The following is a 13,246-nucleotide window of genomic DNA, read 5'->3' on the forward strand; positions in this document are numbered from 1 at the left end:
CAAAGTCACAGTGATTGATTGTGTGTCCTGGGTGTTGGCCACTTTTTGGAATGAACTTGTGAACTTCTTCATCTCATTTGTGTGGCAAGAGATATCAAAGGTCTTAAAAATTTTTATTTTCCCTTTGATGCAATAATTTTACTTCCTGGAATATATCATGAGGCAGTAATCCTACAACCAGAAAAAATTTTATGTACTGAAATGTTTACCACAACCTTATATGCACAATAAAAATGTGTAAACAAATTTCATTTATAACAATAGGGGAATGATTAACTCAAGCTGAAGGCCAGTAGCAGCTATGCTGGCTCAACTAACTGTGCAGAACCAGTCCCCAGTACAATGCTGGTTGAAGATTCAATATGTATTTGTGAAACTGAATAATTTTACAATGTTAACAACCATGAAATTATGCTATATGAAATTAGTCACAGAAAAACAAATACTGCATCATTCCACTTAAATGAGGTATGTAACATAGTCAAATTCATAAAAGCGAAGAGTAGAATGGTGGTTACCAGTGGCTGGAAGAGTGGACAACGGGAAATGGCTGAACGGGTGTGAAGTTAAATTATACAAGATGAGTAAGTTTAAGTTATGCAAGATGAGTAAGATCTGCTGTACTACATGGCTCCTATAGTTAACAATACTATGGCTGGGTGCAGTGGCTCACGCCTGTAATCCCAGCACTTTGGGAGGCCAAGATGGGCAGATCACAAGGTCAAGAGATCGAGAGCATCCTGACCAACCCCATCTGTACTAAAAATACAAAAATTAGCTGGGCATGGTGGTGCGTGTCTGTGGTCCCAGCTACTTGGGGACTGAGGCAGGAGAATCGCTTGAACCCGGGAAGCGGAGGTTGCAGTGAGCTGAGATCATACCACTGCACTCCAGCCTGGCGACAGAGTGAGACTACGTCTCAAAAAACAAAACAAAGCAAAACAAAACAATACTATACATGGAAAATGTTTGAGTGAGTAGATCTCAAGTTAAGCGTTTTTACTACACACTCAAAAAAAGGGAGTGGAAAGAAACTTTTGGGGGTGGTGTGTATGTTTATTACCTTGATTGTGGGGATGGTTTCATGTGTGTATATATATGTTCAAGCACGTCAAATTGTAGATATCAAACATGTGCAGTATTTTATGTATCAATTGCCCCTCAATAAAGCTATTAAAAACAGAAATAAAAGATGTTTCTAAGAGTATTAGAAAAAATGAAAATTACTGATAATTTGTTTTAATTTAATTTAAATGTTAAACCCCTCCAAAGTATAATGTATTATAAGACTACACTGTAGTCTACTATATAAATATAATTCTGTTATATTATATGTAAGAGCAAAAGGAAAGAATCCAAAATGTTTATGACTGTCTCTGCATATTTTTTCTGTATCTTTCCAGTGTCTTAAAAGCAATTAGTACTTATTAGTTGTATGATGAACAAAAAATACAGATTATCTTAAACTATTTCTGTTCCTCTTTTTAAATTAATATACAATATTTAGACATAAATATATGGAGTACATGTGATATTTTGCTACATACATAGAATGTATAATGATCAAGTCAGAGCATTTAGGATATCCATCACCTCCAACATTTATCATTTCCATGTGCTGGAAACATTTCAAATTCTCTCTTCTAGCTATTTTGAAATATTAGCTCAGGGATGTCTCCTTTAGAGCTAAACTATAATGGAGTAAGGTAGGAAGCCTGTTGGTAGTAGCTTTCCCATCTCTCCAGTCTTGCTTCCCACTGAATTATAAATTCTTCAAATGCAGGAAGAAAAAATCCTCACATTTTCTCTGTACAACAATGGCCCGTTATTATAGTTGGTTTATAATAGGTTCTTAATAAATATTTTGCATTAATTAATGCATAGTGATCCTGAGAATATACTGATGAGTCATCAATTTTTGATAAGAAAATAGTAGTTACTTGATAGTTAAAACAAAAGAAAATAAAACCGGAAAATATTTCATGTCTACTTCATTATTTAAAATTTTAATCAAAAGCTTAATTCATTTTTTAAACATATTTGTTTGCCCTATTTTATGATACAAAAATTGTTGTAATAAATGCAAAAAAAGTATAACCAGTTACCTAACATTTCTCTATCCAATTCTTCCTTACTAAAGTAACCAAAGATAACCATGTACTATATATCTTTCCTCATATTTCTCTTTGATTATACTGACCTATGCAAGCATTTGCAAATATTTAAGAGTTTTGTTTGTTCATTTAAAAAACTTTTATTTTGAAATAATTATAGATTCACAGAAGTTTATTCATAAGAATAGTACAGAGGGGCTCAGTGTACCCTTCACCTGGTTTCTGTCAATAACATCTTACATAATTATAGTATAATATCAAACAGTCATGCAGTCCAGAAAACTTATTCAGTTTTCACCAGCTTTACAGGCACTCATGTGTGTGAGTGTGTAAATTTGGGTAGCTCTATGTAATTTTATAGCATGCATATTCATGTAATTACAACAATAATTGAAATATAGATCTGTCTCATTACCACAACATTCCCTCATGCTACCATTTTATAGTTACATCCATCCCCTCCTCCTTTCCTTCTCCCCTTCTTTAATTTCTGCCAACCATAAATCTGTTACACATCTCTAAAATCTTGTCATTTGTCCGGGTGTGGTGGCTCATGCCTGTAATCCCAGCAATTTGGGAGGTCGAGGTGGATGGATCACTTGAGGTTAAGAGCTCAAGACCAGACTGGTCAACATGGTGAAACCCTGTCTCTACTAAAAATACAAAAATTAGCTGGACATGGTGGGGCATGCTTGTAATCCCAGCTACTAGGGAGGCTGAGGCAGGAGACTCACTTGAACCCAGGAGGCACAGGCTGCAGTGAGTCAAGATCATGCCACCACACTCCAGCCTGGGAGACAATGTGAGACTCTGTCTCAAAAATAAATAAATACATAAAATCTTGTCATTTTAAGAATATTATATAAATTGAATCATACAATACATATGTTTGTTAATTTTTTACCATATATAATTACATTATTTACATTATACTACATCTCTGCATTTTTTTTCTCCACTTAAAAATAAGCTATATGCAACCCCACAGGGAAATGCACATGGTTATAATATGTAACCCACTAATTTTTAATACACATGTAATTACATATATATAATTTATATTATCAGAATTATATTTTACAGCCTTTCTTTTTAAGCTTGGCTTTCTATGTGCTCCTCCTCTCTTATTTTCCCTCCAACCAATTTGATACCAGGCTTTCCCCCCACCCCACTCACAACTAAGTAATCATGACAACACCTTGATATAATTTTATGCATTTTTGCCATATTCAACATATATATGTACATACATATATGTTAGAATAGGTATGATTTATATATAGTATGTGTATATAAAGAAAGAATGCAAAGATGAGCAGTAATGTAAATACTATGTTTCTGTTTGTTAAAAATGAATACTACCATCTTGGTTCATTAAAAAAATAGGGTTGTATTACATACACTTTTAACATCTTGAGTTTTTCAATAATACATTTGGGATATTCTCCAAGTAAATTGTTGTAGCTATAACTGATATTTTACTTGCTTGAAAGAATTCTGCAGTTTGGACATATTCTGTAGTGTAGTGCAATGTTCATCCCCTCTAATACTGAATGGAATTTGCCTTTTTTCCAGTTTTTGACACTTGCAACAATGTTAAAATAAGCGTCCTTATATGAGTGGGTGTGTCTGTGAGTGTGTGTATGTAATTACATATACTTCCTGTGTATATAACATACACACACATATATATCTATATATTTAGAGAGAGAGAGATAATTAGTTTTCTATTGTCACTGTAACAATTTAGCACAAATTTAGTGGCTTAAAAACTTATTCTCTTATAATTCTGGAGATCAGAAGTCCTAAAATGGGTTGGCAGTTCCTTCTGGAAGCTGTAGAAGAGAAATTATTCCCTTGTCTTTTTCATCTTCTAGAAATTGCCTCATTCCTTAGCTGGTAGTCCCTTCCTTACATCACTGCAAACTCTTGCTTTCATAATCACATATCCTATTTTTTAACTCTGGTCCTCTTTGCTCTCTTCTAAAGACCCTTGTGATTCCATTGTGTGCACACAGATAAATTAGGATAACCTCCCCATCTCAAGATCCTTAATTTAATCACGTATACAGGGCCCTTTTTATTATGTAAGGTAACCTATTCACAGGTCTGGACATCAAGTCATGAATATGCTTGGGGGTCAGCTTTTCACACAAATAGATGTTTATGTTTCACTTCCAAAAGATAGATTAACTGGACTGGAAATTCTGAGTTGAATATTATGTTTCACTTCCAAAAGATAGATTAACTGGACTGGAAATTCTGAGTTGAATATTATGGTGGATTCCTTTATTACTCAGCAAATATTAACTCTGTTCCTCCCCATACCTAAGGTTTGAGTGCATTTTCCCATCTCAGTGAATTTGGACTTGTTATAATCAAAGGAATTTGACTTTAAAGCGTAAATTCTGAGCACCCTCTTGAGTTTTGCCCTACCTCGTGAGAACAACAGGGCCTCGATAGTGACTACTTTTTGAGCCTAGTTTCCAGAAAGAAAAACAACCAAAAATAGCAGAGTCATGGTAATCCTCAGACCTAGAAAATAAGTGTTTGCTGTGAGTCACAGTGATTTGAGAGATTCTTTGCTATCACAACAAAAGCTGACTAACACATAGAATATGAATATAATTAGTTTTAGTAGATATTACCAAATTGTTCTCCAAGTCCTATAACAATGCAAATTCATACAAACAATGTATGAGAGTATTTTTTCTTCTGAAACTCTGCTACTCTACTAGAAATTAAAAATGATCTCTTATTAAATGTTGCTAATGTGGTGGACCATAAAGGTATTGCTCAATATACTTGTAAGTTTTATTTCCTGGACTACAAAAAATATAAATATTACTTCATATTTTCACTTACTATTTAGACTTGATAATGACAACTGCTTACTTTTCTTTAGTCCTTTTTCTTTAAATTTGTAATAAATTTCAAAAATGATTTCAAACCATTTCTTCTGTCATAAGGTTGGAAAATATTTTATATTTCTCCCAGTCTAATGTTAGCTACTTACTGTGTGTGTGCATGTGTGTATATATATATATATATATAATATTCTATAATTAACAACACACACTATATATACATATGTAATATTCTAATTTTTTATTAAACAAATACGTTTGTTTTTATTTCCTCCCTTTACTTTCTTGATTATGAAGGTTTTCCCTATGCTTAAAATGTCTTGTGATACTTTTATTTAGTTAATCATTTATTTTTGTATTTAAGTTTCTAAACCATCTGGAATTTATTTTATCTATGATGTGAAACAGACTCAAACTTAATTTTCTTCCAGATGGGTAGCCAGTTGTGCCAGCATCATTTAGTTTAACCATTCTTTTCTCCAACATTAATATGCTGCCTTTGTTCCATTTTAAATTCTCATATAAATATTTTGACTTATTTTAGGATTTTGAATGTATATTTCATGTCATGAAATTTTCTAAGTCCTAAAGTTCTAATACATAACAAAAGAACTAAATTTCCCGTTCTCATTGAGTTTATAGTCTAGATGGAAAAATCAGAAAATAACAACTGGCTAGCTAAATATATAAATAAAGATTTGATGGTAATAGAGTAACGTAGGAGATAAAGATTCAAGAATGTTCTTTTAGAAAGGGGGCCCAGTGATGTCCTTTTTCATAAAATGACATTTGAACAGACACCTGAATGGAGCTGAAGAGCAATTTATGTGTATGTCTAATAGCAAAGCTTTTGAAGTAGAGGGAACAGCACATGTAAGCGTCCTTAAACCGGAATATACCTGGCATGCTTTATCTAAAAAATGGCAAGGCTAATGTGACTGCATAATGTGTCAGAATACGTAGTCAATTATCAGCCTAGACAAACTAATTCATTTTCTATTCTTATTCCAATATTCTGAGTTAAACACAGGGCTATTATAATACATTCTAATATCAGTAAGGCAAGGCAACATTTGCTATTCTTCTTTTGATGCTTTTCTTGTATAGTATTTAAGACTTTATATAAACTTTAACATCATTTTCAAATGGTCTTCTTTGCCTAATAAATAAGCGATGAATATATACTTAGATAGAAAGATAAAATTTACATGGGGTCCTTCCAATTGGAATTGACTTAATTTTTATATTATACTTTAATCTCATATTTTATATTAATTACTTTAATATTGGTCCATTATTGTAATGTGTCTTCGCATACAAAGGCATGCCATTCTTTTTAACAGGTTTTCGTTTTATTTCGTTTTGTTTCATTTGTATCTTTCACTAAAATTATATAGGGATCCTGTTCCTTTATGTTAAATTTATTTCTAATCATTTTATAAATTGGTGGCTATTTTAATTATTTTTTGATTGCCCTTTTCCATTGCTTATTGCAAGAATAGAAAGAATATGCTTATTTTGTACATTTATTTTATATCCAGCCACCTTACCAAATCTCTTATTATTTCTTAGTTTTTTTTTTTAACTGAAACTTGAGGTTTTCTATGTATATAACCTTGTTAAAGCAAAAGAATTTTAAATCTATTGTCCTCAAATATTTAATTAAAATTATTTAATTTTTCTGCTTTTGATATTTGGTAGAATACAAAACATCTTTGAGTGCTAATGTAGGTAGCAGTCATTTTTTTTCATTTTCCTGATATTTATCATATTACATAATCTTACTCAATTGTTATTTAACTACAATTTCTTAAGAATGGTTCATGAATTTATTAAATATCTTTTTAGAATCTTTCACTATATTCGGCTAGTTTTCTTCCTTCGTACGATAATATAGAGAATTATGTTGATATATTAGAATGAACCTTACATTCAAAGAATAAATCCAGCTTCAAAATGATTTTCTAAATATTTTCTATTATTTGTTTAATTTTTTTCTTCTATATTTATTTATTTTTCCTATTTTGAGACTTCTACTAATGGTGTACTAAAGATCTTGTATTTTTATCAAAGTCACTTATAGCTGCATTCTTGATTTTTATTACCTTATGTATTTTACTTTGTGATTTTTTTCTGTGTTCTCTATTACTCTCACATATTAGTTACTGGAAAAGTGATGTTTTATAATATTAAATAATCTTATCCAAGGGTATATATTGCAATAAGATTGTATATGATTATACATATTTTTTTCTTTAATAATGTTTTAGTTGTTTAGGCTGACTTCTTTTCACCTCCAACTCTGTTTTGTTTTCTGTGCTTCCTCTCTATCTAGTTGCAGACTTTTGTTTTCCGTGCTTCCTCTCTATCTAGTTGCAGACCCTACTGGGTGTCTTGTTATGTTCTTTTGACTGCTCCCTGGAGCTCCCGTGAAACCTTAAGTAGGGGAGGCTAATGAGATGGGAAGTGCGTAAATATTTGGCCTGTAGAACAATGCATAGTTGCAGCTGATAGTCCATGCCCTGATAGAAAGCAGGGCCCAGACTCTTGTGTTCCCTAGTCTTCTCTTCTCTTCTCACTTCAAATATTCCTCTCCCAAGTATGCCAGCAGATACAACACACTAAGCATGACCCATATAAACCTACACCTCTGGAGGTTCAAAAGACATGGTGGGTCAACAATTCACAATGATCGCCCACTAGTCTCTAGGCTTTCTTTTGACTTGAAGGGGAATCCATTCCTCATATTTGTTTCCACTAGGATTGTGAGAAAAGCTGAGGCTTGACAACACTCTCTAGATGCTGCATATCTGCTTGTCCTAGTTCTGCTCATCACAGTAGCATATTCAAGGCACCATTTTGAAGAACCTTTTTAAGGCTTAGTTTTGGAGGGAATAAAACATATTAGAAATCAGGCCATTTCTGGAAACAGTGTACATGTTGTCCCGCCTTTGCCAAGTCATGAGACATTAATGAAATGTATTACTTTTGTGTCACATATTACTCAATATTATTATTTTATTATTATTTTTCAAATTTAGAAGCACTATTTCCATAGTTATGCATACCTTTATGAACATTTTTCTCTCATGAGACAGAGAATGAGAGAGACTCATTTTCTTTTAAAAGAAAAAATATGTTGAATTATTTGCTACATGTAAACATTTTATTAATAATAATCTCTCTTATCTGCATGCTTTAAAGTCACTTTCAAGATTCCTGACATAAATTATCTTATTTGATTCCCACCATGATTCAGTAATATAAGGGCATAATAATAATAACAGTTGTAAATCATGAAATGCTTATTACTTAGTATATCTTATACAAACAATTATCACCAACTCTTTGGAGAATGTACTATTATTACCCACATCTTACAGACGAGAAAAATAAAATATAGGAGTATTAAGGAAGTTGCCCAAAATTATGTCTCTAATTAGTGGTGGAACTAGAAATTGGTATCCTCAAATTCTAATTATGGAATATGCACCCTTAACTACCATGTAATCATACAAGATAAATGTTACCATTCATATTTATAGATCAGGAAACTGGTGGAATCAGCTGGTTTGCTTGCTCACGATCACTTAGAAAGTAAATGGTGAAGAATAGACTAGAAATCCTGTCTTCTGATTTGACATACACATTTCTCTCCAGATTATAATATGTAACTAGTATACCCTGTCCCACTGTAGGCACTAATCAGTGTGCAATCATTGAGATCCATCTGGAGATATTACAATACCATTTAATTTAGCCATGGTTAAAATTAAGTTTCTTAAGAGATTCATATATGTATTTCTTAGGCATTCTGGAATAGGAAGAATTCTTTTAGTGTTATTACTGGTGCTGCAGCTGCTGTAGGTTAATCTTATTATAGCTGTTATCTTTTGATTTCATTTAGAATTTTTTTCTCTTTTTATATAGATTTTGACAAATAAGAAAAAATAAATTCAGTTGCAAAGCTTTTGTAAAATGCAAGCTGATTTCTGCCATTATAAAGAAAACGTCAACAAAAAAGCAAATGGAATGATTTTTAAAATTTAAATTGAGTCAAGTTTCAGAAATGTGAGTTCATTCAAGTCAATGAGTATTCACTGAGTTGTTATGACATGCTGGGCACAATGCTAGGCACAGTGGGAGGTAAAAAGATTATAAAAGTAGTCTCTGCCTTTAGGGGGCTCTGATTCAATGGAAGAGACAGGAATGTACACAAATAATCTTAATATTAGCCAGACTGTTATAAATGTCATAACAAAGGGACTGAGAAAGTGCAATAGGGATATAAAAGAAAGATATTATCTCCAACTGGGCGAACTTGAGCAAACAAATAAACTCCACAGCTGGTGCAATAAAATGTGATTTCAAGAAAAAATACTTTAGTTTTAATTGCTTTCAATGATATTAGGCAAGTTGCCAAAAAAAAGTTTTCTTCAACATCAAGTTATATCTCAAGAATATCACTTTAAGAAGTTGAACTACTCATTTTGATATTTTAGAATAAAATATCCAATGTGAAAGTTACCTGAGTGGTTAGTTTTAATAGCCTATTTGTTTTTCAATGGTGCAAACTAACTTTGTAGACAGAGAAAGTACTTTCCAAAGGTAACACAGGACAGACCACTGAGTAGTTCAAATTAAGATACGGGTCACATGACTTTGGCTGAGCCTCTTTTCTATTTCACTGGAATCCTCCTCTCTAGCTTTTATTTCTTCATTCGTGCATCCCTCTTCACAAATATCAAGAAGATTTTACTCTGTGTCATACACTGGGTTCCTGCCCCATTGAGATCAGAATGGGCTCTCTTGTTTGAAATCATGACGAGTCACGTGAAATTTCAATCACAATTAATTCAGCATAGATCATAATGTGCTGTCTTTTGCGTATTTATTTCAACTCTAATGCGTGGTTATTATGTGGTGATTAAGCAAAGGTGCTGCAGACTCGGATGGCCTGGATTCAAATCACAGATACACCACTAGCTAATTTTAGAAAAAAATTCCTTAAAACTCTATGCTTCTATGACTCATGTTTAAAATGGGGAGAATAATAGTGCCAGCTTCATAGTTTGTTGCAAAGTTTAAGTAATCGAATAGGTGTTAAAAATTTAGAACAGTGCCTGGAGCAAAGTAAGAATACTCATTGCTTTTTCTGTGCTTTACTTTCCTCCACTTTAGGAGGAAATTGTTAGAAGAAGGTGGTGAAGATGGTAATGAACAGGTATTTGAGTAGTCAAATGTCCCACATTTGAACTTTAATAACAAAATTTAATAGTTTTGTCAACTGACTATCCATGAATTACTAGTACCATTACCTTTGCTCTTAGACATATGAAGAAACTAGAGCTTAGAGAAGTCACATAATTTCATAGAAGACACAGATAACAAGATTTAGAGGAATTTTTTCAAGTTTTTAGTTGCTGGGATTCTGTCTGATTATGTATGCCACCAGATAATTCTAAAAATTATTAATTTTAGATTCTAGCTTTCAGTATAGAGATCTTTTAAAATATTGCCTCTGGAAAGGCAAGTTGAATTTTTATATACACCGGAAAATAAATGTAAGCAATGTAAACATATGGCTATCGATTCCTTATTTCATGGCTCCATTTCATGCATCTCCTCATTCTCTAAGTTTAACCGTGATGATTATTTTTCTTTTCCAATCCTTGAATAGGTCATGCTGCTTCTGACCTCTTTACTTGTATACATGTTTGTTTGCTCTCTGCTTATTTCAGTTCTACCCACTCTTTCCAACTTACAAATACACAGAAACAAATACCTTGCCCCTACCTTTGCCCATCTGGTTTCTACAGGTTACGCTCAACCACAAATTTAACATCAAATTATCTCGGCCACTTTCCCTGCCTCCCTCCATAATCTGTTTGGATGTCTTCCTCTGTCTTCTGCATTGCCTTATTTCCCTTTACCATTGCACTTATTGTGCTATATAAACCATACTGTAGTTGTCTAAGTGTCTTTATCTCTTACTAAATTATATACTCCCTAAGAATTGGGACTGAGTACCTTGCATTTACTGTTTAAATTCCATGCCTCATTCAGTTGATCCTGAATTGCACCTCCCTCAATAAGTATTTGATGAATAAAAGATTGACATAGTGAATGAATGAATGAAAAACTGTATTTGTCATTAGACTTCCATACTAAAAGCTACAACAAAATCTCCATCTCCGACAGCAACAAATAAAATTGATAGAAAGAGTTAAGTAACTATGTATCTTCAAAGGATTTTTAAAATACTTGGCATAGATAAATCATTTTTTAAAAAGCTTACTCTCGAATGTAAGCCCATTTGTAAATTACAACATTCATTTCCCCACATTTGCTTACCTTGGACTAGAAAGACACTGAAATGCCATTTTTAGGACAGAGCTCTCATCCAGAGATTTGTACATAATTCATAGTTTAAGTTCTGCAAGTTTGCATAATAAATAGTTTAAATACTGCAGCAACAGAGCTGGAGAGGAAATTAGGATTCTGAATGAAAAAGTTAATTATACCTCCAAGGAGTTTTTTTTTTTTTTTGCAATACATTAAAAACAAGCTTAGAAGAGGATAATTTAGGCTAAAAAGAGATGGAAATGAAGAAGATTATGGGAGTGGTGATAACTGACAAGTTGTCTTATTAAGTGGGGGTAATTAGGCTAAATTAATTTTAAAATTGTAGTAGTGCATTCTGGATCAACAATAGCGTAGATAATTTCCGGGGCTAATGATCTTGCAGCTGGGGTCCTTTCTGTTAGATGGACTCTGTTCTTGACATTATTGGCCATTTTCTCTGCTTTACCCATTCTATTTAGGTAACCTGGGGGGTATAGTTTAAAACTGGAATTCCCACCCATTTAGCTAGGCTGCCAAAACAGATCAAAGAACAAGCGATTCTCATCAAGGAAAAGTGGCGTTTTGTGAAAAGACATCACAGGATATTTCTTCATCTATTTGTATATCTGTTCATCTGCCTAGCCAAGATATGAATACTATTACTACTAATAATAAATAGTATTAGTATATAATTTTCAAAGAATTTAATATAGGTCTTGGTACTGTACTATGTCACATACATTATCTTGTTAATTTAAAAACAAAAAAAAAAAGCCCTGTAAAATGCACACAAAAACATTAAACCCAAACTAAGGACTCAGAGCAATGAAGTGTCCTGCCCAAGAACAATCAATTAATTAATAATTGGCAGATTTGGGGTCTGCTCCCCAGCAGGATGACACTAGTGCCACTGCACACCCATTTGCCTTATGCTGGTGTCAAGAACAGAAACCATCACTTGAAGATTTTGTAATCTGAGAAGCAGAGACATGAATAGTGGGAAAGATTCACCTTTAAAAATGAATATTGGAGCATAGGGAAGAGAGAAAAAAATTAATAAAAAAAAAGAAACAGAGGGCTTAGACTCTAGTCTTAAATAATCATGACATAGCTTGTGAAGTTGAGTTTATTATGTGACCATTATAGCCGTCATATTCCATTATGTAAAAGGAGGCAAATAACAAGACTTTTAACTTACTGAAAAGACATTCCAATCATGGTGATAACTCATTCCTGTCTAAGGGAATGCCCCTTCAAGTCCCTCCTATGGTTAACTGTCTCTGTTCACATCCCCTGCTGAAAGAACAGCACAATAGCCTTGATTTCCAGCATGGAACAGGCTAACATTTCCTACCCCTATGCTTGTCCACCACAACTGCTCTAGATAGAGCAACCAACTTATATGCAAACTGGAAGAGTATGAGTTAGCTTGGTAGGAAAATTTCTACTCAGAGTCACACCCTTACTCTTGGAAATGTGTACTGCAAAATCAGATTAAATGAGGCAGTTGATACCTTGATTTTTCTCTATCAGCGCACAGTCTGTGCACCACCAAAGGCTGGCAGATCTTACTTAAAAAGAGACTGAATCTGCCCACTTCCTACCACCTCTTCTTCTACTGCCCCCTTTGTAGCCATCAGCATCTCTCCTGTGAATTATTCCATTATCTTCTGCCCTTGCCTCAACTAGATTTATTTTTAGCATAGCAGCCAGAATGTAATTCCTTTGTTCAATAGCTTCCCATTCCTCTCAAAGTAAACCAGAGCATTTAAGATAGTTTGCAAGGCTCTCCACAACCTGGATCCCTGCCTTACCTATTTAACCTCACTTCCAACAACTGCTGCCCTCCCTGCTCATTTCACTCCAGCCACTCTGGCCTCTGTTTTTCTCCTTAATGTTCCGACCACTTGCTCCCATGCA

This window comes from Homo sapiens, chromosome 9 (assembly GCF_000001405.40).
Source record: "Homo sapiens chromosome 9, GRCh38.p14 Primary Assembly".
Taxonomy (NCBI): domain Eukaryota; kingdom Metazoa; phylum Chordata; class Mammalia; order Primates; family Hominidae; genus Homo; species Homo sapiens.